The 24679-nt window shown below is 36.2% G+C and overlaps 2 long non-coding RNA genes across 2 annotated transcripts in view; one reads left to right on the top strand and one right to left on the bottom strand.

Moving 5' to 3' along the window:
* STXBP5-AS1 (STXBP5 antisense RNA 1) overlaps window positions 1-24679 on the top strand; it is a 363227-nt gene that overhangs the window by 22772 nt on the left and 315776 nt on the right. Inside the window, exons 2-3 of the long non-coding RNA NR_034115.1 lie at window positions 7895-8028; window positions 8196-8250. This is a non-coding gene — a long non-coding RNA (STXBP5 antisense RNA 1). The remainder of the gene's footprint in view (window positions 1-7894; window positions 8029-8195; window positions 8251-24679) is intronic.
* On the bottom strand, window positions 851-22918 carry LUADT1 (lung adenocarcinoma associated transcript 1). The gene is made up of 3 exons (NR_132442.1): window positions 22859-22918; window positions 15984-16112; window positions 851-1114 (listed from the first exon to the last, which is right to left on the bottom strand). It is a non-coding gene; the product is annotated as a lung adenocarcinoma associated transcript 1 (long non-coding RNA).

Here is a 24679-nt window from a genome sequence, read left to right as displayed (position 1 = left end):
ATCTCAATCTCTTGACCTTGTGATCCACCTGCCTCAGCCTCCCAAAGTGCTGGGATTACAGGCGTGAGCCACCGTGCCCAGCCATGATTCATAGTTTTTACCCAAATTTCACAAATTCTTATAATATCCTTTTTTTGATTCTGGATACAATTAGAATAACAGACTGTGTTAGTCGTCATGTCTTTTTAGTTTCCTTGAACTTGAAACAGTTCCTCAGCCTTTCTTTTTCTTTCATGATTGTGCTTTTGAAGAGTAAAGCCAGTAACTTTGTAGGATGTCCTTCAGTTTGGATTTTTGTTTCCTTGCAATTATCTTCAGGTTTGTATTGGTTGACTAAGGAAAAACAACGAGCTTTTAAAGAATTAAAGTTAGTTTCATTCAAATATCTTACCGATGCCTATACCTTGGGAACAGCATTTTAGAGAGGTTTTATCAGACTTCTCCAGCACAGGGTTTCAGCCCGCTACTTAGACACAGGTGCTGGGGTCTCAGTACATGCAAAATCACATCAAACTTGCTCAGAAGTTACATTAATGCAGAATCACATGAAGGTCTGGGTATAAAGGTTATAGAATACAGAGGTACAATCACTAACCCTATCAGACATTATCTCGTGTAGGAAGAGGCAAGGAATAGCGTCATTTATCTTTTAAAGAATACAGTGATTCAGGCAAGAGACATGGGGGGGTCTTGTGATCTATCCTTTTTTGTCTTCAAAGCGTCTTTTCAGAGATCTGCACGTCCCAGAGTCAGCGGCTTTGTGAAATTATCTTGGCAAGCAAAAATGAACAAACGTGACTTTTTACATTTGCTACTTTGTCTCATGTGTTTTTCTTTTTTTATTTTTTTTAGACAGTCTTGCTCTGTCGCCCAGGCTGGAGTTAGTAGTGTGTTGCAACCTGCACCTCCCAGGTTCAAGCGATTCTGCTGCCTCAGCCTCCCGAGTAGCTGGGACTACAGGCATGCACCACCACGCCCAGCTAATTTTTGTATTTTTAGTAGAGACAGGGTTTCACCATGTTGGCCAGGATGGTCTTGATATCTTGAGCTCGTGATCTTCCCTCCTCGGCCTCCCAAAGTGCTGGGATTACAGGCATGAGCCACCGTGCTTGGCCTAAAATGTCAATTTGTTTCATTATTAGCGACATTAACTTTGATTACTTAAATAAATTTGGTTGCTAAATCTACTGTAAAGTTACTATTTTTCTCTTTGTAATTAATAATTTATAAGAGATTACTCTGAAACTATGTAAATATCTCCTAAATATCTCCTTGCTCATCAAACATGATTTCATCCACCAGTTTTAATATCCATTAAACTGGATTCTGTATATATTTTTTAACGTGTCCCCATTATTGTTTTAATACTTTCTGTACAATAAAATGTTCCAGGCTCTTTTTACAGTTTCCAAGCCCCAGCCCTAAATGTGGCCACTTCTTTATGGATCCCTGATCCCGTCTAGTGAAAAATGATATTTAGAAATAGATCTGAGTGTTTGATGTGCTCATTGCTATTGTGTTGTTTTTGCTAAGAAATGTACACACACACACGTTTATAACTCTATCAAATACATATTTGTAGTATGTAATATGTAATTATACATAATGAATTCATACTGATGCCTCAAATTCCAGTTCAATACCATAAGGATCACAACATTTTAAAAAGTTAGAATAAATGGGACTTGACATTAATTGGATGTGGTGGGAAGGGGGAAGAAGTCAAATGTGATTGTAAGTTGTAAATATGAGAATGGCATGCCTAAGAGCTGAGTATACAATGTTTTGTGTACCATTGTTTTTTGTGGTATGTGCTAACAAACTAATAAAGCCTAAGACTGCTTTACTTTCTTAGCAATTATATCATAGTGTTCTGGAATATTGATCTTGTGGTTAAATAAAACTCAAGGTCTTTTCGTATTAACTGTTGAGCAAGATCTTCTACCTCTTACGAATTCAGATTTTTAAAACTATACAGCACGTATGCCTAGGAAATTTTATCTTGTTAATATTAAACCATCATTCTTTTCAGACCCCTATAATCCTGGTTTAGCCAATCTACTAGTTGTCTCTACAAATCATCTGTTATGCAAATGTTTTATAATATGCTTTCTATGTGCTTCAGCTGATCTCCTCAGCAGATAAAGCAGAAGGTCAGGAAGGCAAAGCTGCAGCATGCTGTTAGTGGTGGGGGTGACAATTCTGGAAATATAACTGGAATTGGGGTCATTTCTTACCACAGTGTTATATATTATGAAATAGACAATTGGGAGTCACGTCACCAAAAGCTCAAGAAAAAAGCAAGGTAAGAAATATGTCTCCTGATGTTTTAAAGAGATGAGGGAATCTGGAATCCAACTGATGTCTCTCATGCAGCCTGAAAAGGACTAATAAGATACATGAGTTCTGTCCTTGTCCTTTTCTTCTCAGTTTACTCATTCTTCCTAGGTTATCTAATCCACACTTCACTGGCTTTAACCTCTCCAGCTACTGTTCTATAGCAAGGATTGCTAGAAATTCCTTTTTCCATAATAGAATTTTAGCTGATTTGTGTCAAGCAAGCTAGGGATTACATTTCTTGATCCCATTGCAGTAGACATAGACACCTGGTGGTTCTCACATATATGATATGATTAGGACTATGTGCAACTTGTCCCTCACTTAAGAGGAAACATTTGGCCTCAAACTTCTATGCTTTTCTCCAAGCAGAGACAGAAGAGAGTCATGGATAGGTATATTGAAATACCTGTAGTTTTTTCAAGATGCCAAACTGTGTCATACATCTTTATGCATGTTAATTCCTTTGTGTGAAACTCCTTGTTTCATTGTCTTTTCCTAACTTTTTATCCATCTTTCAAATCTCAGCTCCTATGTTACCTCCTTTAGAAACTTTATATGATGGTTTCTGTTGTGGTTTAAATGTATGTTCTGTATATTTCCAGAAAATCCTGTGTTTTTCTTTGTTGTGGTAACTAGGATAATGTTTGATAAATGTTAACAGTAGACATGTTTTTGGTGTTTGCCTGGCTCATATTCTTTTCTTTGGGTATTATCCTGACTTGATGGGCTTTAATGGCATTATTTATGTAAATCTTTCACCATGATTATCACATCTGATTAGAACATGCTCAAAGACTAGGCTGAGACTAGTTGGTATGTCTTGAAAATTTCAATGAAGAGACAAAATTATGGCTGGTAAATATGGGTGCTAGACTTGTAAAGCATGGAAATTTGGGTCCAGAGTCCATGCCTTAGGAAGGAAAAAAGACAAAAAAAAAAAGCTTACACATGCAAAATCAGACAGAATATAGAAAAAACAGGAACAATAAAAGTGAATCTTCAAAGAGAAGAATAGAACTGATGCTTGGAGAGAAATGGAACAAACCATTCAACCTAACTGAGCAAGAAGCAGCTGTCTCATGAATTTGAGCTTGGATTGATTCACTTCAGTAGAGAAGTCTTTGTAGATGTCAGAGAAAAGAAAGTTTACATCATACTTTAACTTTCTTTTTCACTATAATTTTTATAATAAATAACCCAATGATACTGATTAATAAAGTAACCATTGGAATTGTGGTGCTGGTCTTCTGTACATTTTTAACTTCAAAAATTAAAAATAACATTGATTTTCCTTTTTGACTCAGATGAAGACTTTCATATAATATACAGTCCAGAATACAGTGACTGATAACTAAGGATCATATGCAAATCAATTCTTTCTGCAGTCAGCATAGAATGGCAAAAATAAGCTGAAAAAGTGTTCTGTGTCTCAAATAATGTTATTGAATAAATTATTAAATCAAGGAACTAGGGGCCAGGCATGGTGGCTCATGCTTGTAATTTCAGCACTTTGGGAGGCTGAGGTGGGCGGGTCACCTGAGGTCAGAAGTTCAAGACTAGCCTGGCCAACATGGTGAAACACTGTCTTTCCTAAAAATACAAAAACCAGCCAGGCATAGTGGCATGCCTGTAATCCCAGCTACTTCAGATGCTGAGGCACAAGAATCGCTTGAGTCTGGGAGATGGAGGTTGCAGTGAGCTGAGATTACACCACTGCACTCCAGGCTGGGTGACAGAGCGAGACTCCATCTTAAAAAAAATAAAAATAAAAAATCAAGGAACTTAGCAACTAGCCTTCTGAAGGTCAGCCTTACAATTTTTTGAGGACTCAAGCGTAGTATTTCAGAAAATGTTTTCTTTTATGTTTACGATGTGGTTCAAAGCTCATATTTTTGCTTTGTTTCTCTACCTTTTCCTTTCAGCTCAGTTTTGTATTCCATATAGTTGTATATTTCTAGTCATCAGAAGGCCAAGGTTCTAGACTCAGTTCTGCTATTTAGTTACATAATCTTGTGTGAGTCAATTGACTGGCATTCTCCCTTCAGTTATCTCATTCCTAAAGTAAGGATCATAATCTCTTTCATGCTTATCTTGGAGTTGTAACAATCAAATGTACACTTTGAAAATGCTGAGGATTTATATTTAAGAAAACCTTATCAATATCTGACAGTAGAATTATTGGCAAGGGTTGACTGCAGTGAGTTGTCGTTCCAAAGATATTATACTGCTGGTGGTTGGTTTTGTCTATACAACAAAGGATGCTTCCAGTTATATGCCACAGTCCTTAAAAGCATAGGATCTTAGTTTTCTGAACTGTAAAATTGGATTTAATAATTATACAAGCAAATGGTACTGTAAAGAGCTTAGCACAACTCCTGGCACAAAATAAGGGCTCAAAGAAAATTAGATATAGAAGTAAATGTTAGCTCTGTTCTTTGACCCAGAATGGGCTTTGGAGAAGGGAACTGCTGGTAAGAAGTGTGAAGCTGACCAGGTGTAAAAATGTGGTCCCAGGTGTAGAGTTTCACAGCAAGTTATCTCTTTGCATAACGACCCAGGTATGAAAGAACCTGGTTCCTTGCATTTGTCTCCTGGGAGATTGATTGTTACTGGTCATTAATTCCTGCTAAATGTCAGTGAATCAGATAGCATTTTCCCAGCCTTCATTTCCCAACAAAATTTTAGATACAGGACTTTTTAACCAAAGGTTTGATGAAACCTGTGGAACAAATCAAGTACAGATTTAGGATACATTTAACCAGCCCTATCTAGTTTAAGTTCTTTCCACAAATATTTACAGAAAGCTATTATTGAAATACCACTTCTGTCCTAATATAATGGCAAACAAAATGTAAGATGACTTTAGATATAGATTTATTACATGACAGTGTACAAGAAATACTTGGGAAAGTGATAACATGTATGATGAACACTACAGATACACAGTATCTTAAATGGACTAGTGACATTAATTTAGAAGAATAAATTTAACTTCTTCTGCTATTTAGACTATTAAGTTAATTTTGGCTGTTCCAAATACATTCACAATTGCCTGTAAGACATCATGAGTATGGTAGAAGGCAGGGCATCTAGTTGACTAAAAGGCTGTCATTGAGAAAACAACTCCAATGTGGCAAAATTAAGAATCACGAACTATGAACTATGAATACTAGAAATATAATATGCAGAGATAGTACCCTATAGCAGTAATACAAGAACAATGTAATATGCATTTTCAGAAAACAAGAAATAGCACCCTTGTAATGAAACACTGGGCATGCATCCTTGAGAATTTACCAGTCATTGTTTTAAATTAAAACATACAGGGTTTTTTTTTTTTTTTTGTCTTAAAATCAAACCTCAAAAAAACCCCCAATTCACCTCTAGAGTGCATAGAGTACCAGGTTTGTACCAAAAGTCACTGATGGGAAATAGTGGCCCCAGGACAAAGAAGAGTACCAAACTTAAGCTAGAATTCTTGATTATCTGTGGACCTTCTATATTTGAAACACCATGTCCTGGTTCAATGCATTTTAGAAGCTGTCATGTTTCTAAATATTATATACAATTTAAACTCTAACCTATATTAGTGCTTAATTTTAATTATGGTTTTTCTTTTAGAGTAATAAAAATGGTGGGATACAAAAACATTACCTTTAGATGACAATTTCTGCTGTTCTTTTGGTTTGAAATGCTCTAGCATTTAAAGTCTCTTTTAAGAAACACTGCAAGATTAAATGCTTGCTGTACTTCTGTTTTCAGCACACTAAAAGACAACTCCTTACACCTAAAATAAGCTAAATGCTTTCATTAGTTTTGTTTCTTTTTTTTTTTTTTGTGAGACAGTCTCAAATAAAAAAAAAAATGCTCTTCGCCCACGCTGGAGTGCAATGGTACGATCTCAGTTCACTGCAACCTCTGCCTCCCGGGTTCAAGCAATTGTCCTGCCTCAGCCTCCCAAGTAGCTGGGATTACAGGCATCCGCCACCACCCCTGGCTAACTTTCATATTTTTAGTAGAGACGGGGTTTCCCCATGTTGGCCAGGCTGGTCTCAGACTCCTGACCTCAGGTGATCTGCCCGCCTCGGCCTCTCAAAGTGCTGGGATTACAGGTGTGAGCCACTAAGCCCGGCCACCTTCACTGGTTTCTAAGACTAATTATTGGGTAGTTCTCCAGGATTCAAAGCTACATGAGAAATCACTGAGGGCAAATATGTGAAAGTCCATTTGGAATGTACAGAGAAACCATTCTTTAAAGCAGCTTAAGAAGTCAGGTTTGAGATTTTTAAAGTATATCATTTTTGGGTATATTAAGTAGAAGTGTTTTTCCCTATTACAGTAATTCCACTTGTGTTAATGTACACAACAGATCCTGATCGTCAGTGGTTCTCAAACTTTAATATTTATAACCATTCCCTGAGTTCTGAATTAAAACAACATGTTCCCGAATTCTAAATCTCCTCTCCATCTTGCAGGGCTGGGCTCAGGGATCTCCAGTTTTAACAAGGCCCCGGGTGATTTTTCTGCAGGCGGTTTACCCATCATATTTGAGAAACTCTGAGAATTCTGAAATAGATATGAGAGGAAAACAGTTTATGTTCTAAGTTATCCAATTTTGATATATGCCTAGCAGCTCCTAAACACATAGTACTGGATAGAAAAATTGTTTTAATCAGTTAACATTAGGTTTGAGCCATTGTGCACCCAGTTACAGATTTTGTGTAGCATTTCTTTGACCTTTGATTCTGTTAAATGTGTGTGTGTGTGCATGCATGTGTGCAAGCATGCGTATAGATTGTTATTTTTAATGTGCCTTCCCATCTTGGGAGATTCTGTGCTTCTGCATGTCTGCTTTTCTTGGCTTCTGGGTTGGATTTTGCATGGGCATAAGACCACTTCCTAACAGCACTTTGTGAGAGCAGAATGGAAGTAAGTGTTCTTCTCAATCTTCATAAAATCAACCAGAATTATTTTTGAGAGCCTATGATGGTCTTCTGCTTTGGAAAGAGAGAATTTGGTAGAATGAAAGCGCAGGTCCTATAATTTTATGTATTTGTAGGAGTACAGGAAATGAAGTTACATAATCATTGAAGGGCAGAGCACATCTTGAGTTTCATCAGTGGGCAAAGATATTTATGCTACAAAAAATGAATTTTGTGTCGTTTACTATTTACAAACTTATATGATTAAGTAAAATAGATTTAGATGTGATATGACCTTCTGTTTTCTCCGTTTCTAGGCATTTAAAAAGGTTCTTGGTACCTTAAAAAAATTAAAACTGCCAGAATAACTTAATGTGAAAATGAACTTGGGGAAAACAGCATGGCAGCTTATATCTAGCGCTAGCATCTGTCAATAAGTTTCATGCTTCAGTAACCCATAAAAGAGGAAAATAAAAGTCCTTTGATTTTTCTGCCTTGCAACTCTGAAACAGAATGTCCCTGACTTTAAAATGGATGATCTCCAAAAAGAGAAAAGCAAAAAGATAACTTGACATGCTATTAACTCCTAGTATTTTTAGTATTTTAAAAATTCACTCTATATCTCTTCTCAGAGAAATATGCAATGATGACATTTCCAAGAAGTGATGGCATCTGGCGCTAAGGACAAAGAATGGGATTTTGCCACAGGGATCTTATTCTCCCACATGTTCTGTCTGAAGGAGAAAGTTATCTGAGGCCTTATATGGTGAGACATAAACATGTAAAATTTTGTTATTTTTCACCAACACTATGACTTGTGAATAATAGCAAATAATTAAATATTGCTAATTTAGATATTAAGTACTATAGATCCATGTGTGTATATATATTCATATAATTGCCATGATAACTGTCATTATCTTCATCTTACAGATGCAAAACTTTGGACTCAAAGAAATTAAATCACTTGCCCAAGGTTACATAGCTGGTAAGTAACAGAGCCTGGATTCAAACCCATGCAATGTGACTCCGTAGGCTATGTTCTTAACTAGTATATAACACTACCTTTCAATGTAAAATTAGTTGTCCTGATAAACGGACATCCGGGGAGGCTGTACAGTTAATCCATCTATGTTGGCATTACTGAGAACATTCTTAGATTTACTTTAATGTGATTTATTGCTGATACATTAGAAGCCAGTTCAAATACAGAGTGAAATGCCCCCCAGCAGCTGAATCTGGCACTATAAAAAGGAAGTGAGCTGTCGTAGAGACAGCCCACAGACAAGCCTGGTTTGGTCTTTAGTTTTGGCCTTTATAGTATCTTACATTTTAATTAGTTACCAAAATAAACACAATAAAATTTAAAAGCCTTATATACGAACCTGAATTTCTGTTCTCTCCGAAAATTAGAGCCTTTACATTGGGCTTGTGTCACCAGCTTCCCACAGTCCCCACCATCTGGTCTCCCAGAAATGGGTTGAGGGTCACTCCGATCCCATCTACATGGGTTCCACTTCATTTGTGTATTTTACCTGCCTGGTCACTTCAACATTTGATTTCGTGGTACTTGGACAAAAACATTGTTCAAGGAGTAAATGGAAACAAAGCAATTATTGCAACTTGTAAAAGAGAATTTCGGAAGGGGGGCTTTTAGATTAGAAAGGCATTTATTCCTGCTGCATATCCAAGAGGAATTAAGGGATGAATGCCAAGCATTATCATGAGCAAAAAAGAAATAAGAGACAGATTAAAACATAAAACGTAAAACATTAAGACTTTATGGGGAACATAAAAGTTAATTCTGGCCCTTTTCTAATTTTCTGTGTGCCCTCAAGCAAGTTTCTCAGCTTTCATGGAGAACAGTGTAATTTCTAAGTTCTGGGTTCTATTATTCACACTACACAATAATAAAAAGAAATATTTTCATCTGTGTACTGTTCCAGGGAAGATCAAAATGTTAGCAGAATGAAGAGAAAAAAGATTCTGTAGCAATATCACAAATCCCTCTTTCTCCCAAGGATGCAAAATTACTGATTCTCCAAAAAAAAAAAAAAAAATAGTATCCATCAGAGTAATCATGAGAATAGACACTAATTTCATAATGTCTGCCGAACAAGAAATGGACAAACTTGTTTCTCTAATGTGCTGCTGCTATTTTTACCATGATTAGAAATGTGCTCAGTGGCTGGGCACAGTGGCTCATGCTTGTCATCCCAGAACTTTGGGAGGCTAAGGTGGGTGGATTGCTTGAGCTCACAAGTTCAAGACAAGCCTGGCCAAAATGTGAAAACCCATCTCTACAAAAAAATGCAAAAATTAACTGGGTGTGGTGACGCTATCCTGTAGTCCCAGATACTTGGGAGGCCGAAGTGGGAGGATCACTTGAGCACCAGGAGGCTGACATTGCATTGAGCCAAGATAGTGCCAATGCACTCCAGCCTGGACAACAGATTGAGATCCTGTCTCAAAGCAGAAACTTGTTCAACAAGAGCTATCCCATACAGAATTCCATAACCAAATATGCTTTGGACTGTAACTTTAAAATGTTTACCTTTGTCCATGATATATACAAAGTACTTTATGCTTTTAAAACATTTGCACTGATAGGATCTGTGGAGTCATATACCCAAACCTCCGGGTATTTAGTCGTTGGTTCATTCATATATTCACTATCAAGGTATTTACCAGCGTGTACCACATGCCAGGTTCTCAGCTCATTATTGCAACTTATAACCTGACTGGGGATATGATTAAAGCAATGAAGGATTTTCAACGTTACTATGGAGAACCCTCTCTGTGCTCATTGTTATATTTAGAAGTTTGAATTGGGTTCTTGATATTAATGAAGAAATGTTTCCTCACATTTGAGTTCCAAAATGATTAGCAAAGTAGCAAGCATCCTAAATTTATGTTGCCTTCAATGTTGTTTGTGACCCATGCTAGGAAAGTGTCTCCATAGCAGTTTAGTATCAGTCTGCTGGCACCAAAGGGGAAGTGATGGCAAGATTTTAATGAAATGATTATCTTCATGAAAAATTGCCAATTTGCTTTTCCCCCTTCTATTATTCCTCAAAGTCTGTCTCAGACCCTTTGAAGCTCTGTTGCTGTTTGTCCAATTGGTGTGTGTCCCCTTGGCCTAGCGGCTTTCTCTTCCTTGCAACTTGACTTTTAGTATGTCAATTTAGAGAAGTGTTTTTAAGTCGAGTATACCAAAGCTTCCTTCACACAATATACAGATGATATCAGTGGTTAAGGTTTTATAATATCTTCAATTATTTCATCTAATACCAAAAAGGGAAATCTGTGATACTATTTGGATCTCTTAAATTTTCAGAATTACAATTGAGACAGAACCATTAAGCAATTATTTATAAGCCTGCTTCCTTTCCTTCCAAATGTTAAACCACAGTAAACAGCACCTTGGTCACTTGCACAGTGAATGGCTACAACCAGTTCCAATTGAGATTACCAGCCAGAAGTCCATTAACGGCCTAATGAGAACAAATTATTTGGTTTTTTTTCTTCTTTTTTTGGGGTGGGGGGACCGAATTTCACTCTTGTAGCCCAGGCTGGAGTGCAATCGCACAATCTCTGCTCACTGCAACCTCCGCCTCCCAGGTTCAAGTGGTTCTCCTGCCTCAGCCTTCCAAGTAGCTGGGATTACAGGTGCCTACCACGACGCCCAGCTAATGTTTGTATTTTTAGTAGAGACGGTGTTTTGCCATGTTGGCCAGGCTGGTCTGGAGCTCCTGACCTCTGCCCACCTCGGCCTCCCAAAGTGCTGGGATTACAGGTGTGAGCCATGGTGCCCGGCCTAATGAGAACAATTTGTATCAACTAAATAATACTGAAGACACAAGAGGGAAAAGGTTAACACTGCCATATTGGTGTCTTAGTGAGTTAAATGAAAACTACAGTTCACTCTTTCCTCTAGTGTCCTGGGTGAAAATTAGAAATATAAGCTATGTTGACTAGAAGTATTTTTGCATTTTTTCTTTTCACTTTATGGCTCAGCACATATTCATTTGAAAACTATTCTCTGCTTTTATTTCACAATCAAAAAGTTTCTTCTGTGATTCAAATGTACTTGGATGGAGTGAGTAAGATGCCCATGTATGCATGTGGGGGTTGGAGGAGGTGGGACTGGAATTCCAAAGAGAAGGAAATCAAAATAGCTCCAAATGTGTCTTTTTTCAGCCAGTTCAACCAGTGAAACACATGTTTTATTGCGTATTTAACAAACTCCCAGACTAGTATCTAATAGGTTCAGCCCTGTCAAAAATCTATATAGTTGGAATTCTTACAAGGTGGAAACATTTTTTGTAGGGATTTATTTTCTTTTCCCTGAGAAAGAAAAGTACAGGTAATTCACAACATACTATCATCATCTTCAACATTTGTGAGCATATTGGCATAAATATATTGTTCTAGGCCTTGGAGATACATGAATACATGACAGTGTAAGGCATCATTTGTTTATGTTTTGCTTTTCAGCCACCCAGGAGCTTACAATTTATGTGAGGAAACAGATTGTATACATATACAGATAATTAAAAATATATATGGTAAGTGCTGTAGACAATAACGATGTAGACCACGGTGAGATCAGAAACTGAAATGAAAAGTTCCATGGAGAATTATTAGCATTTGACATTTGCTGAGGTTTGATGCTCTAAGGCTTAATATCAACCATAAAAAATGACTATTCAAAAAGAATGAAAGAGAATCCAGTGGAAAGAAAACACATTTGATTTCTTTCCCTTCAATTTCTCTGCTAGGGATCTGACTCTTACCTTTGGCCAAACTACCTAGCCTAAAGCTGCTCACCTGTGACTCTTGACATTGTTTCCAACTAAGTGCTCTAGAATAAGGGTTGGTAAACTTCTGTAGAGAGCCAGATAGTAAATATTTTAGACTTTGCAAGATATGTGGCTTTCTTTTGTCATAGCTGCTCAATTACACAAGTGTAGCATAAAATCAGACGTAGACAATATGTAAAAACTAAAGAGGATCATACACCAGTGAAACTTTATGGACACTGAAATAAGGATTTTATATAATTTTAATGCATCATGAAATATTTATTTGATTTTTTTTCCAGTCACTTAAAAATATAAAAACCACTCTTAGCTCATGAGCTGTACAAAAATAGGTAGTAGATAGGATTTGGCTCACAGGCTATAGATTAATGACCCTGGCATTGAAAGACTTCAGCATTTACCAACCCTTACCGTCACTCTGGTCCTATTCAATTTCCTCATCTAACTGATAGAAACCAGTCTAGGTGCTGTATAAAATTTAGGTAACTTGGGATCGTCAAAGAATAAAGCCAAAATTAATGTCTTGGCTTATTTGATAGTATATGATTTATTATAACTTCAGATCAAAAGAAGTCTCCTGGATAGGTTAAGCATCAGGGACTGCTGTCCAGGGAGAAGTCAAGTAGCTAGAATGTATGTTGATAGAGGCAGAGTCTATATACCCAGTAGGATAGCTGAGTCTCCTTCCTCTTGGCAACTAGGCTTATGCCCTTCGATGGGAGACCAGATAATTCCTCTTTGCAGAAGAAATGGGCCAAAAGAAAAGACTTGATACAAGCACTTGTTGATTCTACAATGAAAATTCTTCAGTGCTCCATTTTATTTTGAAATGTGAAGGTAAATACTAAAACAGCTTTAAGTGTACACCGTGGATGCCTGAGGGAGGAAAGACTTGGGGATGGAAAGAGGTGAAACAGAGAAATACTGATTTTATTTTAAGGACAGCAATAGTATTTGAATTTTAAAATCATATGTATGTATTTTTTATAAACATAAAAATTTAATTAGAAATAAGAAAATGAAACCCTCTGGTGGCTCCCTTTGCCTACAGAATAAGTTCAAACAATTTGGCATGCCACACAAAACCGTCTGCAACAGAACACCTTCTTGGCTTCACTGCAGTCATTCCCCAGCACACAGGCAGGACCCTTCTGTCCAATCCTCTTTTTTTTTTTTAATCCCTGTGTTCTCATTCCTGTTAGTTTCTCTCTTGAGTGTTCTTTTCTCACTGTCTTTTTGGTGAACTACTTAGTTTTTAAAAAATATCAGCTCAAATATTGCCTCCACTTTGCTCCTTTCACAGACCCCATAGGAATCATTAATTGGTTCATTCTATGTGAACTCTCAGCATTTTTGACATGTGGGTACCACAGCACTTAGCATGGAGGATTATTTATGATATCTCATTTTGGTTAGACTGTGAGGATCTCAAAGCAGGGATCATGTCTGATTAATCTTTATATCACCATTTCCTAGCACACAGTAGGTGCTCAGGTAATGGTTTTCAACTTAAAGATGGATTTGACAACAGTCAGCCTCTTAATGAAGGGAGAATTTATGTGATTAGTGACTAATTGGATTTAAAACATGAAAGCCCAAGTCAAAGATTATTCATTTAAATTATTTTGAGTAGCTGATAACTAGGAGAGAGTGCCACTGATTGACAGGTAAGGGGAGGAGCCTTATCTGTGGCAAATATGAAAACTTTGGTTTTATTCTTCCTGAGCTATGGATTGATGGTGAGCTATCTAATATTTCTTATCAGAAGTTAGAGAAACCAATTGAATTTCAAAAAAGAAACCAAAGAAAAAATATTTTGCTTTCATTAGTATATCAGACTATCTGCAAATCCAAGATATTTTATGAGATTTCTGAGGTAGATCATTACATTAAATGGTAATTCTCAACTTCGGATATGCATAGAATCATCTGGAGTGCTTGTAAAAATAGCAGTTCCTTGAGCTCCACCCCCCGAGATTCTGATTCAGAAGGACTGAAATGGAGCCCATGACTGCATTTTCACAGGCACCTTTTGATGATTCTGATGTACACAGCCAAAATCAATTATTTGAGGAATATTGGCACAGTGGAAGTAGGAAGGGGTTGAAAAAATTTGCTTCGGAGAGATTTGGAAGGCTGGGAGAAGACGTGTACTTAAGGAGAGAGGGCTAGACTGCTGCAATTTGGAAATGGCTTTGCTATCTGCAGAAAATAGAAAACACTGGAATTAGCATTCAGCAGTTACTTTTTCTTCAGAATGACTTCTAATTCATGGCTTGAATTTTAAAATGTCCTCATGTCACAGAGATCATAAACAGCTCACCATAAGGACTGAGAGGATATCTGGGAACTCATGTCACTTTTCAATTTTGACTGTTAGAATCCCATGATTCTAAGTATCATGCTGTTTTCTTCCACTTACCAAATGCTTTTTCTGTAATAAATTATAATTTCAGATTTAATGCCCTTTTGTTAAGAAAATTATATAAAAAGCCTTTATGTATTTTTTTACTACATAAAAATCTCTTTGGTGATGACTCATCTTTATGTGCAAAACCAAAGAATCTAAAATTGCATGAATTACTATTGAAAAGTTTGCTTTCATTGCTAACTCTGGAAATGAATGAAGCCTTGTGAATATTTTCCTTTAGCAGTCTAAATTCCATTTTTACTCTAGTCATAGCGAGTTCTATAAAGGAAACAAGTCCAACTGAAATTTGTATGATAAAATGATAAATATTAATTTATTTCAGTGAATTATAAATACATATATATTAACCAAACATATGTTACTGTTAAATTTGCCAACTGCTTCATTGCAGTAAATGATATTAAGCATGAAAACTATCATTGCCTGCTTACTACATGTGGAAATAAATGAAGTCCAACCAAATGAGAATAAGCAGGGACTATTTATTCAGGGCTTGTTATAGCAAAAAAATCAGCAACCATCACTTGTGTTTTGGCAGAGACTCAAAGGGAGGCAGAGGAGTGAGAAAGCATTGTGGTGGAAGAAAGAGGTCTTCACTTAGGCTCTGATTGGAGGTTGCTGGCATGAGGAAGCTGTCAGAGGGCTAACTAGAAGCAGGGCAGCCCTGTGATTGGCGAAGGGAGCATATTTGGCTTTCTCTGATTGGTCCTAAGTTGGAAGCCAGGACAAAAATTAGGGAAGCTGTCAGTTATTAATCAACCCCTAATTGCTTTGGGCTGATTGTTAAAGGGCTTATTGTTTGGCCTCCGGGGCTGGTTGCTAGATATGGTCATCTGACTTCCTACAAGTCAGACTTACAGATAATAGAATGGCTTCCCAGGATGGTTACTGTAGATAAGAGTATGGTTTCCTGAGCTGGTTGCTGAGCCAGAGTTCTGTTTTTATATATGGCCTGGCCATTGTGTATTTGTATACTGAGTCTTTCATACATAATATATATGATTTCTAAAGGAAATTTATAAAGTTGGCTAGAACTTAAAGACTTAAGAACAACAAAAGTTGAAAAGAGACACATTTATTATTATGTAAAAAGAAAATAAAAAATTAAAAACCTATCTAAACAGTACTATAGATGTTTAGCCAACATCTAATGTTTATTATGTTTAACACCATTAGATGTGAATGCATATATTTATCAGAAGGTCTGAAATGTTATGCAAAAAAAATAACATGATGAAAAGCCCAAGAGAATCACTAGGATAATGAATGAATAATACAGTTTATTCCTACACCCAAATGCAATGCAAAGAAAGCAGGTTTTTATTTTTTTTGTGGTGGTGTCCACGTGTGTGTGTGTGTGTGTGTGTGTGTGTGTGTGTGTGTTAATTTAGGATTTTTAAGATGAAGAGCCACCTCTTCGATGATTAAGAATGATACAAGAAGGAAATAAAAATGTTTCCCACTTACAGGTCCTGGGGGGTAGACAACACACCTGGAGGCCACACGCATGCTGGTCAGGGAGCTCAGGCAGGGAGAGAGAGGCACTCGTGGGCCAACACCTTTTTTAGGTCCAGCACTGTTATCCAACCATGTTTCCTGTGGAGAGTTTAATTGGTAGGTTTAAGGCAATCAGGGTCAAGTTCCAGGAGGTCACTCTGTGAGAAGTGGTCACTGTGGCATATCTGCCCAGTCCATGTGGGGTGTGAGCATCAGCAGGGCCTGTCAAGGAGGCTATATGTAGCTGTCCCATAGGTATGTGATCACCAGGAGACAGTTTTATATGGCGGATATCTGGATCAACCACATTGAGAAACTGGGAGGAGGTGTAGATCTGGACATTGTGTGAGAAAGTCCAGCTTATATTCAAAATGGATGCAGAGGCAACATAGAATTACAATAATTCACTATGGTGAGAGATAGACTTTACACATGGGCAGGAACCTAAGGTGGCAATTCAAGGCGAATGAGCCACATTCCCTTGACATCCATATTCCAGAGAGGAATTCTAAGGAGTTGGAATTCTGAATTTTTATTTCTAAATTCTAAATTTACCCTCTCGATGGCTATGATGGTATATTGTCAGGATAGGAGGATATGACGTATTTTATCAGCTTATTAGCTCACTTTATAATTTTAAACTATTCCAACATTTGGCAAGTGGCCTCCATTGTTCTACAAGTATTATGGGTAAGCCTGAGACAACCTCTACTGTTCTAGCTGTTCACCCAATCAGAACCTGTTTTTCCTTTTCCCTGTCTCAAGACATCACACAGTGAAGTCTGTCTATGGAAGACCCAGTTAGAAGGCTGGATTAAAAACAACTCTTCCCAAATACCTTATTTCTGGCTATAAGAGAAACATACCCATCTGTGTCTAATAAGGATGATAAATTGTCCCACAGATCAAATTTCCTTAAATACTTTAACATGATTCTGTTCAGATTTTTTTTGTTTTAATTCTAAATGGAATGGAAAACTATTAGATGACTAGGAGAAAGGGACTTTCATTATCCAATTTTGTTTCTTTTTAAAATTGGAAATATGCTTACTGAAAAGTTGAAAGTAACATACAAATTTTTTTTCTTCACTGAACGATTTGAAAGTAAGTTACCCATACAAAGTCTCATCAACTCTAAATATTTCAATGTATATATCCCATATCCTACAAACAAGGATATCCTTCTACATGTACAAAATACAACATACAACCATCAAAAACAGTTGCTATGGTTTGGATGTGGTTTGTTTGCCCCCCACAAAGCTCATCTGAAATTTTATCCACAATGTGACAGGGCCGGGCCTAGTGGGAGGTGTTTTGGTCATAGGGGAAGATCCCTTATGAATGAATTGGTGCCATTCTTGCGGCCATATGTGTTTTTACTCTTGCAAGACTGGATCAGTTCCCACTAGAGTGGGTTGTTATAATGTAAGTTTCCTTCATAATAACATGTTTTCTCCCTTCTCACATATGTCCACTTCCTTTTTGACCTTCCCGCCATGTTTTGACCTAGCACATGCCCTCACCAGAAGCAAGGCAGATATGTGGCTCCATGTCTCTTATACATCCCAATCTGCAGAACCATGAGCTAAATAAGCCTCTTCTCTTTATAAATTACCAAGTCTCAGGTATTCTGTTATAGCAACACAAAATGGATTAAGACACCACTAAATTAACATTACTACCTTCTAATCTTCAGACCCCACTCAGGTTGTGCCAATTGTCTCAGTAAATTACACATAAGACCATGAATGATCTGGCCTCTGTCCATCTCACCAGCCTTATCTCCATCATCCCCCTGGCTCAGGTGGCATCTGCTACCCACAGTCTTTTCAATACCTGAAATGCATGTGGTTCTTTTGCATTGGAGGCCTTTGCATATGCTGTTTTCTCTGTCTAGATGCTGACACTTCACCCACTAAATCCTGCTCTTCTTCCAGTCAAACTAGTCATGCCCTCAGAGAGGCCTGCCTTAACTCCCTAATCCTAAAGTAACCCCCTTTCCCTCCCTTCCACGTTCTTATAAAAGCTGCACATTGCACTCTTCATGTTGTGGAGCTATGTTCTTATTTGTGAGATTATTTGTGAAATATCTAATTCCCCTTCTCTAAGTTCTTTGAGAACAAGGATCATAATATTTTGCTCCTTATATCTGGAGGGTCTAACATACTGTCTAGCATTTAGATGCTCAGTAAAAATTTTCGAAATGAATGAATACATAAAATGAATAAACTGTCATTTTCTGTTCAATGTTACGCAAATTAAAGTAATATTTTGATCAGGATTACAATGACTGAATCACATTTTGGACTTCTCGAGAGAAAGATAATTAGAGATTTTGTCAAAAAAAAAAAACAAACACAGATTTGTCTGGGAGTGGTGGCTCACGCCTGTAATCCCAGCACTTTGGGAGGCCGAGGTGGGCGGATCACGAGGTAAGGAGATCGAGACCATCCTGGCTAACATGGTGAAATCCCGTCTCTACTAAAAATACAAAAAAAAAAAAAAAAAAAAAAATTAGCCGGGCGCCATGGTGGGCGCCTATAGTCCCAGCTACTTGGGAGGCTGAATCAGAATGGCGTGAACCCGGGAGGCGGAGCTTGCAGTGAGCCAAGATTGCGCCATTGCACTCCAGCCTGGGCAACAGAGCAAGACTCTATCTCAAAAAAAAAAACAAAAACCAGATTTACTTATTATGATCTAATATTAAAGACAATTATTCTATCAGACAACAGAGTATGCACACATATTTCCTTTTAAATGTGCCTTTTATACATTGAAGGTGATTATATTTTATATTGCCTGCTCTTATGGTTTATTTCAAAGTAATTTAAGGTGAGACTTATAATGAGCATAGATTCTGGTAAGATGATACTGAGGAGTGTTTTGGTCTTTTTTGTTACGTGCAAAATTATTTGAGAAGCACCTTTGTTATCTTAGAGACATGCCATTGTAGAAATGATCATTGTACAAGTCATACAGGATATTTTATAATGTGGCAGAAATTATAAACGCTATAAACTATATATGAGAAAAATATAAGCACTATACATTTTTAAAAAATGTTTAGAAATTTTACTGTTTTTAAATAAAAATTGAATACATTTAATGAAAATGTATTACTCAATTATCTTGCTGAAAATGTCCTTTTTTATGTGCTGTGAGTCTTTAAAGATTTTGACATTTCATTAAACTCTATCCATTTAACCTAGAAAAACTGCAAATACTAACCCTGAATCACAGCAAATAGGAAGAGAATTTGATTTATTCTACTTATAAGAAGATAGAAGTAATGTTTCATTCTTATTGTTTTCATGGTCATTGTATGTATAATAAGCAGTTATACTCTGGTATAAGGATATATATGGACATATATAGAATTTGTACTTAAAATACCAAGTAACCCAATTAAGTGCAAATTATAAAAAGTACAAGAGTAGATCTGTTGATGAGTTTTATAAATATTTATTTTCTATAATGTGAAATGCGTTACTAAGGCAGAAAAGAAATTTTTTCCCACCCTATTCCTAAAGATAAAAAAGATGGAGGTGAGTCATTACTTTCTGCTGTATTTTATAATCATCATAATATACATGAAAACTATCAGTGACTCACACGCAATTCTTTTCCGGCAGCACTGTGTGTGCTTGTTCACATGAACTGACCCTCATAACTGACAACTAACAGTAAAACATATGTCATCATGCTTTAAACAAATATGCTTTGAGGAGATAGCCTTCTCTATTCCACCCCCCACCCCACCCCGAGTAACAAACTGAGTGCATTTAGAGCAATGCACTAGTGAATTAAAATGTGGGCCACATAAATAAATCTGAATTGTTTAGTAGCTGCACTAAAATATGTAAAAAACAGGTGAAGTTAATTTTAACAATTTTATTCAGCCCACTATGTGTTATATAATTTCAACATGTAATGAATATAAAAAATTATTGATATTTTATATTTTTTAATAGAAATCAGGTATGTTTTTTATGCTTACCGTATATCTCAGTTTGGGTTACCCACATTGCATGTGCTCAATAGCCACAAATTGCTAGTGGCTAACATACCCCACAGTGCAGGTATAGAGTTTATACAAGAAAGAAAGGGAGGAAGGAAGAAAGAAAAGGAGGAGGGAAGAAATTAGGCTTGATTCTTTCAAGACAGTAGCAATATTTTTTTTAAGTGAAAAGTATACATTAATTGTAGAATTAAGGGCTGAAGGTAAACAAGAAACTGTGTAGCTTTGGTTTCCTACGAATGTGCTGAGTGTCTTCCGTGGAATATGGAGTACTTAAGGGCAGGGACTCTTCTTATTCATCTCATTACTGTCAGAGCCCGGCACATTGTCTGGCATATATTAAACATACATATTTGTTGAGCATGTGAATAAGTGAATCAATGGCACTATGATACCCTAAATATGCTTATTTTAAAGATTAAGGATACCCAGCTAGTTATTTCCATATTAGCAAGGGATTTAGGCAGAGTATGGAGGATGTCAATTTCAGAGATAGGAAGAGAAGTTATGGTTGATACTTTCATCATCAATATTTGTGAAATTCACTGAGACAAACCAACAAGTATAAAAGTGAGACCATCATAATACAGCCTGCTTTTAGAAAGCAATCTTTTAAAAAGATGGCTCTTAGGTAGAATTTCATCATTTTACCTAATTCTAAAAGATTTTAGCCAAGCCTCGTAACTAGATAACTAGATTAAATCTGTCATAATAAAATTTTATATTAAAAGACTTTAAGAAATATGCTGCTGTGTCTCTAGTTCATATATTACTTATTTCTTTCTCATTCTCTTTTTCCTTTAACCTAATGTATTTTGTAAGGTGTGTGCTTAAATTCTGAAAGGATTGAGTTCCTCAAGGAGAAATCAAATTCCTATTAAACTTCGTGTCTAAAAGAAAAAAAATTGCTTGGGTTTAAAGAACAAGTGAAGTATGTATTTCACATTTAAAGGAAGACTTGCAATGCCCTCATTTGCTTTCTGTCAAACTAACCAGATATCACTTTATTATCAAAACAATTTTGCTGAGTGTGACCTAAGACATCTTTAAAAATAGCACTTGTATTTTTCTTTCTGATGTAAAAAACAACTCTTCTGCATGGTAAAACATTTGCAGAAGATTCTAAAGAAAGAAATAATAATTACCCACAATCTCATCATTCAGAGATATTTTAATATTTTAGTATATTTTCCCAAAATCATTTTAAAGAATATAAATTATTAATTTTATAAAATTTGGCATATTACATCAGCTTATATCTTGTCATATAAGAATTTTCAAAATATTCTTTGAAACTAAGAATTTATTGAATGCATAAGATACCTATGAAATTTGATACATGTAATGAAGTAAAAACATGATATTCACATATTATACTTTGGAAGAAAGCATTGACAATTACTGGTAAAAAGCTGCTTCTAAAACTATCCTCTCCTTCCTTCAACTTGTCAATACTTCACTTAACCTTTCTATTCATACTTAAGCTTCAAAATTCAGAGGCTTAAATGTTAATGGTATAAAGGTTTCAATGGTGTTGATAAGTTGTTCTGAGTAAGATAAGAAAGTGTGTTTTGTTGTTTTGCTCCTGAAAGGGAGGAGAAGATAGGAAGGTAAGAGGAAGCCAGTCAAATGGCAAAATGCAGTGTGGTGTGGATTTCTATCTTTTCATCTCTTCTTCTGTCAGCTCTGATGATTACTAGATTTCTACTAAACTCAGAAATGTTTTAGTGAGTGTGATTTTTATGAAAACTGGTGATAATGCTTGATGCCAAGTGTTCCTGTTTAGGTTGACATGGAGTGAAATAAACACTGTAAAGTAGATGCCTGGACAACGGATAAAAGGTTTTGAAAGGATAAGCCCTCAGGAACTACAAAATATGATGGGAGGGCTTTGGGCCACTACCAGCCATGTTGTAGTTACATTCCTTGTCTTGAGTCCCATGGATTTCTCTTTGAAATGGACAGATTTATGTTTAATTTTCCTCTATTTTCCTACAGTAAGCTATCTCTTTCTCTTTCACACTCCTCACATTCCCATCTCTGAGATCTATCACCTTTGATCTTTCTATCTCAGTAATTTTTGAGTCCTTTTCTTCTTGCACCAGCATTTTCTCTGCTTGGAAAAGCCTTCCTGTTGGTGGTTCCTGTCTCTACCTATCTGGCAAAGGCTCCTGGCTTTTCCGGGTTCTGATTGTAACTGGATCATGATCACATTGCTTACTGTGTTCCTTCCTGGGTTCACAACATACAACTCATCCACTTAAACAAATGGAGAGAAAACAGCAATGCTTTTCAGACCTTGTGTTTGTATTTTAGTCTTAATTCAAATTTATCATTTGTCTCTACCACACCCCCTTAACTTACTTTGTTCAAGTTGAAAATTACGGTTTATCACATTTTTGGGGGGAGAAGGGAAGAAAAAGAATTTACAAAGTGTCACTAGATGAATTAGTCCTACAGTTTAGTTTGAATTCCCGGTCTCAATTTTATATTTTGTCTAGAAAACGAAGCATTTAAGAGTTCATTTTTTAAGTGTTTATGGTGAAGAGTTAAAGAGTTTTATAAAGTGTCTATGCTACAAATACTATCAGAAGAAGAACTTATCATGCAAAAATGGTTGCATGTTTATTCTTCCTTGGAGAATTGTTCTTCACCAAAAACCCTGTTGCAAGAAGCAGTTAGGTACAGTTAAGAGCTTGTTGTGCAGAACTCAGGTTACTTCATATCCCTTTCAAGAAGCTGTGGTCTGCCTCATCAAAATGCTTTCTAACGACTGTGAACAGTAGATTTCTCCACACAACATCTTAAGAAAACTTATACTTACTTGGAAATTTGCTGTAAGAGGATTGCTGGTGTGGATTTGCTGAACGGAAACCATTTCTGCCTTCTAGAAAAGAAAAGAAAATAATGAAGAAAATTTGCCTTAACCACGCTCAAGCCTAGCTATTTTCTCTGAATGTTTCTATTCACTTTACCAGAATATGTTAAACAAATATTTATTGAGTGGCTACCATTTTCAGACACTGTGCTAGAAGCTGAAAGAAAATAAGACAAATAGATTCCTTAGGGCAAGATCATGGGATTTGTATTTATGTATATTTGCTTAGTATCTTGGTGCTATCAGCTAAGACTTTAATTTTTTTTTATACTGCATTTTCATTGCTCTACATGCTGGCTTTCACTAATAAAATAACTTGTGACTTGGCAGATTATTTGTAAATTTTCTTAGCCAGTCTGCAAAGATAATAAAAAAGAAAAATTCCATTTTAGGAAACTCATTTACCTTGTACTACTAGGATAAACTGGTCTTCCATGCTTAGACAAAAACCAAACAAACAAAAATAACAAAATGAAAAAAATAAACAGTGTAAGACTTTTTACTTTTTCTTTCTGTGAAAATTAGTTACAGTAGGTAGTACTAAGAAAATAAGCACCACATAACAAATAATGATTATGTAGAACAAAAGAAAATATATGGTTATTTTCTAATAATGGATTTTAGGATTACTTTATAAAAGAAAACGTTACATTAAATGTAAGGCTTAGGTGGTTATGGTGTGCTACAGGAACAAAGTTCTGTATTCTTGGGTAAGAACTTTATTCTCTTGTGAATTAGTTGATTGGCTTGAAAGACTGAGCTGTATGAACTAAGCTCTATGCACAAAAAATAGAAAATAGAGTTCACTTCCTCCTATTTGCCTTTAGCTGAAATTTTATAGTTAGGCTCTCAACATTCATGATGTTAGTCCTTCAGTCAGCCAATCAGTTAGTCTTTTGGTTACATTAGATCTTATACCTAAATAGTTTTTTAAAAAATGATAAACTTATTCAAAGAATAGTTTAAATTTCGATTTGTAGTTTGAACATTTATGCCAATTAATCAAACATACAATCTAGCACCTATTGGGTTAGGTTGATTTATAGTTATAATCCAGATGTCAGATAGGAGAAGAAACTTTCCTGCTTTTAAAAAGAAAAATGTAAGATTCAGAGACTTTCCCATTGCAAAGGTCTTTTGTAGTATTTAGAGAAAATAGGTAACTCTAAGCACAAAGCAGTCTTGTGTTCTTTTTCACAGGCTTTGTGTTTTTATTTTAGTACTTGAAATATAACATCCTATCTTTATATTGCATATCACATTTTTTCAAACTTTTACATATCATCTATTATGCTCCTCATGAGAACCCTATCAGGGAGACAAGCCAATGTTCCCCCAAATTTGCCTGGCAAGTAGTAGAGTAAGTAGTAGAGCTCACGGACCTGGGCTTTAAGTTTAGGGTTCCTTAAATAGTGTTATACAGATTGATCCTCTACGTTGTTTTAATGCTGGAAATTTCTTCTAGTGGGACACAAGAAATAAAGAATTGATAAGCTTTGTGAGATGTACCACCAAAACACAGACCTACAGAAGATTTTCTTTTCTTACAAGCCAAACTCTTTAAGTGCCTTAAAATAGCTCAAGACATCTGAGTCAAGGTCTTAAAATAGCTGAAGAGAGGTTCCACTGGATTACAGGAATCTCCTGCCTCTAAAAACTATGTATAAGCCTCACCCAGGAATACCTGAAGTGACATCCAGAAAGTTCTGAAGAATGCAAAAATAATTACTCGATCAGTCCCTTCTTAGCCTGTTTCTTTGGAAATGA

This window comes from Homo sapiens, chromosome 6, assembly GCF_000001405.40.
Source record: "Homo sapiens chromosome 6, GRCh38.p14 Primary Assembly".
Lineage (NCBI taxonomy): Eukaryota > Metazoa > Chordata > Mammalia > Primates > Hominidae > Homo > Homo sapiens.
This window is presented reverse-complemented; position numbering and strand designations above follow the sequence as displayed.